The sequence below is a fragment of the Homo sapiens genome, chromosome 12, assembly GCF_000001405.40.
Source record: "Homo sapiens chromosome 12, GRCh38.p14 Primary Assembly".
In the NCBI taxonomy this organism is placed as follows: domain Eukaryota; kingdom Metazoa; phylum Chordata; class Mammalia; order Primates; family Hominidae; genus Homo; species Homo sapiens.
Window position 1 is genome coordinate 77,192,037 of NC_000012.12, and position 5,842 is coordinate 77,197,878.

Consider the following 5,842-nt stretch of genomic DNA (forward strand, 5'->3'; position numbering starts at 1 on the left):
TACATTATAGTGACCAAAGTATTTTTCAAATAGGGCAAAAGTAGTTTAAGTCCTTAAGTGCATGGTTTTGGAATTAGAAAAAATCTGGGTTGTAATCATTGCTCTATAAAATGGGGGTATTAATAATGGCTAATTCCTAGAGTTTTGTGGATAATATAAAGTACATGCTTAATAAATTCAGGAAAAAGGAAAATATCTTAATTTTTAAAAATATCTTCAGATTTGTAAAATGCTTTCTTCCTATCTAGACAGTCCTAATGTTATAGTTTCATCCATATCATTAGCTTAGTAGCCATATTTCAACTCAGTTAACAAATAGATGCTGACATTCTAAAATTAACTTGAGATCTGTAATAAACCAGATTAACAATTGGGGTGATTTGGTACTCATCCTAAAGTTACCCAGATTTATAAGCTAGGTGAAGAAAACATTGTATACTACCATTTTGTTTATTTATTTATTTATTTTTGAGATAGGATCTTTCTCTGTCACTCAGGCTGGAGTGCAGTGACACAATCATAGCTCACTGCAACCTCAAACTCTTGGAGTGAAAGTGATTATCCCACCTCAACCTCCTGAGTAGCTAGCACTACAGGTACATGCCACCACTCTCAGCTAATTAATTTTTTTTTTTTTTTTAGAAACAGGGTCTCACTATGTTGCCCAGTCTGGTCTTGAACTCCTGGTGTCAATTGATTCTTCTGTCTCAGCCTCTGAAAGTGCTGGGATTACAGGTACGAGCTTCTGTGTCCAATCTGTATACTACATTTCACAGTTGATTAAAGTCAGCAAACTTGTCCCTAAAACTGAGAAGTACCAAGAATAACATCTCAAACTCGTATTCCTGTAATAGTTCTCCAAAGATTTTTTTTATTTTTATTTTTTATGATATCTTTTTTTTAAATTATACTTTAAATTTTAGGGTACATGTGCACAACGTGCAGGTTTGTTACATATGTATACATGTGCCATGTTGGTGTGCTGCACCCATTAACTCGTCATTTAACATTAGGTATATCTCCTAATGCTATCCCTCCCCAATCCCCTCACCCCACAACTGGCCCTGGTGTGTGATGTTCCCCAACGAATGGCTTTTGTTTCCTTCTTTCAGAAGGGAATTCTCCTTGACCGTACGTTTGCCCTGATAATACAAGACATTTGAAACTTTTTTCCACCAACTACTTTAAACTTTTACCTCAAAAAACATTGTAAGCAGCATTAGGAAGAATGGCAAAGGAGACTTAAATACCTCTACAGGTTGCCAAAAATACAGGTTGGCTGTTGTTCAGCACCTGGAAAATTCGTTGAGATCATATGGACTGTCAAAATTTCAGTGTACTGGAGAAGAAAGCTCCCTGCAGTGACAGTATTGAATTAAAAAAAGTATTGTAAACAGTGGCTCTAGGGGATTACTGTGGTCATTCAAAAAGCTGCACATTCTGCTGTTAACAGAGAAATTATCCACTAAATTATAAACTCAGTTGTGGAGCAAGCAACCAGAGGCAGAACTGGAAAGAGTTCTTTGGGCAAATGAGATCAACGTCCTTTTACTTTAACTCTTAGGTGTCTTAGACTTAGACATATACTCTGTCCTTGAATATAAAGGAGCAAAGTCAATGTAGTAAAAATTAAAGTCTTTTGGTTTGCTTTCTGTGATTGTTTAAAAGTAAGATTACTATCTGTTCAAAATGTCTATAATAGTAAAATAGACACAAATTATGAATGACCTAAAGTTATGAAAATATTTTAAAGTATCTCGACAGCTTTTTAAAATTAGAATTTGCACACCACAATTTGAATAATCGTTTTTGAGATTTGTCAACCTAAGTTCTATGAGTATTGGTTTTATATATTCCTGAGGTAAAACTGATTTTATTCATTTTCTTTAGACTCAGATGAAACTTGCAAATTGATGCAGGAAATCTACCCGCCAACCTATTTATCTTTCTCTCATCCCAGGTACTGTATGATGTTATTAACAGATTGGAAAATAAATCTGCTTTTATTAAGTTTCAGAGATTATAAAAATATTGTGATAATATATATTGGCTAGGTAAATCTAGGATGTTATTATATTTCTCTCCTATCAAAGAGGAAAAGTGATGTAAAATTTGTAAAATGAAAGACGAGGCAAAATGAAAGAGGCCACATATATACTGTGTTAAAGGAGGGTTTACAAAATACTTGACTGTTCCATCGAAAAAGAAATCTTAATTTTAGATTTCAAGAAGAAGCTATAGTGTAGGGTATGTGTGTGTGTGTGTGCGTGTATATTGTTAAAGTACTAGTTGCTCTATTTCTTTAAGTGAACTGACCAGCATCATCTCTCTCTTTATTCTCACCACAAGGAGTAATAGAAATTTTGCCAAATCCTAAATATTCTTAAAATGATCCACAACAGGATGGTGTTACCTATAAAGAGCTTAGCCTCAAACAATGAAGAGTAAGAATATTTTTCTAATTAACTTTATTTTTTAAGTATAAAACTAGTACCTTCTAATTATGGAAAAATTTGTAGAATACAAATAAATAAATAAATGTTATAGCACATTTGCCACTTAGAGTTAATCACGATCAACATTTGGTTCACTTCATTCCAATCTCCCCACTGCCCAGTATACATAAAATGATGCAGAGCCATTAAGATGATGTCCATGAAAAATCGTGGAAGCCATGGGAAATTGCTCAGAAAATAAAAAAAATTACATGATACAGAACTATGTGAACAAGTTCCAGAGTATCTTTAATACTTACTGAACATTAAACAGCAGCAGCTCTTTATTTACACACAATCAGCGGGGTCGTTTTTACTAGGTATTCTCCTCTTCTTTATTTGTTTGCACATCTAGACTAGATGATTCTTTATGGGTCCCAATGCCTGGATTTGGTTTTTAAAACAGTTTAAATTGGGGGTAGAATATGCTATGTGGCTAGAGAAAAAATATCATCTCAAAATTATTATATAAATAAAGGAAATTAACTGATAGCATGGGTATTTCTTTGCTTTAGAAGGCCTGGGATTTACATAGAGAGGTTCAAAACGTGTACAGAGTAGAAACGGCAGGTGTTGAAAAGTGAGTTTTGAATTTACATCGCCTGTTTCAAGCAATAGCATTTCACCACAGGTTGCCTTATGAACTTTTATTTGATGACAGGAGATGTTCCAAAACAAGTTCTAACTTCTCAAATGATGGAGATGTTAATAAGAAATTTATCACAGTTCTAGTCATCCTTGTTTGCTCATGGGTGCCTCTGGGTAACATCTACAATGGCTAGTTACAATTCCCCATTTATTTGGCCTTAGGATTTAGGTATCATATAGAGCTGATCTTTTCTTTCAGAGTTCTAATTTAATCCTGATATTTATCTTAATAAAATTAGCCCTGGTGTTTCTCCATTTATATCAAGACTGGTTCTTTCATGGTGATTCTCCAGTCTGAACTGAAAATATTATAGGCCCAGTCTGGGGCTCTGTAAAATATGTATTTATGGTTCTTCAGATCTCTAGGTGAAAAATCATCATGACTTGAGGATATTATTGTTATAGAATGGTGGATTTTCTGCAGAGAGGTTTCATCACAACACAAAGATATGAACTTCATTGTGGGAAATACTTTGATGAGTTCAAAAGAGTAACTCAGGATGAATGCTGCTGTCTGGTCAGTGTGTCCTGGAATGGCACGTCAGCTTAGGTTGCCTTTTGAGTGTGAATGTTAGTGATAATCAAAGCAAATTTCCTACAGCAGCTGAGTTCCTGCATTGCTTTCAGCTTTGTGATGGGAGGACTATATTACAGTCATAGGATGGATACCACTTGGTTTCAGGTGTCAAAGCCATAACTCATGACCCATAAAGAAGACTGATTCTACATTAAAATGTGGAATTAATTACGTGAAATAGGAGCTCACCAAAATGAGTATTCATTGTGAACCCAGGTATTTGAGGGAAGGCTTTATGGTTGAGGTAGAGACTGAACTGGGCTTGGAAGAAAAAGCAGATTTGGAAAAGGCAGAAAGAAGAGCAAAGAAAATCTTACTGGACAGATGGGCAGGGAAGGGTGTGTTTGATTTTGGAGGATATAATTCCCAAAGGAATTTGGATTTGATATTGTAACTCTAGGATGTTAACTAGGTATCAATTTGCATGTCAACTCTGTTTGAGCAGTAGTGGTTGTTAGGTGATGGCTGTGCTGAGAAAGATTCTAAGCCTGGTCAAAGGCTAAAGGACCTGGATCCTAGATTAGTAATATCTGCCAAGGGGAAGGAGGGACAGGTTTGGCATAACTGCTACATAATTGTCTAGGATGCAGTAGAAAACACAGCAGAGGATTTTTTAAATAGCCAAGACACCTTGAAATATAAAACCTTCAGCAAACATTTTGTATTTCAACTGTAGAAAACAAAGATATGAACAATATTTGTCAGTAGAAATATTGTTTAACATGACACAATGAAGTTCAAATCACTATTTCTTCAGTTGATATAGGGAACTTAGTTTTGAAACATTTTTTCTGGGGAATAACTTGTTGGACACTTCTAAAATAAATTGAATTCATCAGGCAGGAAGAAAGTAATTTTTTCCAAAATTTATTAATGTTAAGATTTTATTTTGCCTATAAATTTAAAATGCTAAGTATTAAGTATTATTTCAGCCTCTTTAGTCGAGTGATCACTTGGGAGAAGATGCTCTTCATTTTTCCAAATAATTAATTTATTGTAATTTCTAATTGTTCATTGTGGTATTTTGAAAGTTAGTTGATTTTTACATATTGAAATTGTATCCTGTGTCATTGCTAAGCTCACTCATGAGTTCTAGTAGCTTTTTTTTTTCGAATCTTGAATCCTTTGGGATTTTATACAAAGACAATCATGTTTTCTGCAAATAGACATGAGACAGTTTTATTTCTTGTTTTCCAATCTGTATGACTTTTAGCCATTTTTCTTGCCTTATTGCACTGCCTAGCACCTCCAGTATGATGTTGAATAGAAGCAGCAGAAGTGGATATGCTTGTCTTTTTTGTAATTGTTGAGGAAAAGCGTTGAGTCTTTTCCCACTAAGTATGATGTCAGATATATCTCTACTCATTTTATGTTTACTTGTTCTATTGATCACTGAGAAAGGATTGTTGAAATCTTTAACTATAATTATGGATTATCTATTTTTTTCTTGCATTTTTAACAGGTTTTTCTTGATGTGTTTTGAAGCATTGTCGTTAGGTGTATTTCCATTTAGGATCGTTATGATGTTTTGTGAATTGATCCCTTTATCATAAAACCCTTATCTTCATCCCTGGTAATATTGTCATTCTAAAATCTACTTTGTCTGGCCAGGCATGGTGTTTCACATCTGTAATCCCAGCACTTTGGGAGGCCAGGGTGGGTGGATCACTTGAGGTTAGGAGTTCAAGACCAACCTGGCCAACGTGGTGAAACCTCATCTCTACTAAAAATACAAAAAATCTATATATATATATATATATATATATATATAAAATATTATTTTTAACATATATGTTGTCTAATATTAATATAGCCATCTCCAGCTTTATTTTGAGTGTTTCATGGTGCCTCTTTAGCCACCTTTTACTTTTAACCTATGTATGTATTCTTACTTAAAATGGATCTAATAATAGGATCTTGCTTTCTTATCCAATCTATTTCTTTGAATAGCTGTATCTAGATAATTTACATTTAATTTTATAATTATTGATATGGTTGGATAAAAATATCTATCATATTGCTAGATATTTTCTTCTTGTTCTGTATTTTTTTGTATCATTTTTATTTTCTGCACCTTTAAAAATTATTTTTATAATTACGTTTTATCTCCATTATTGGCTTG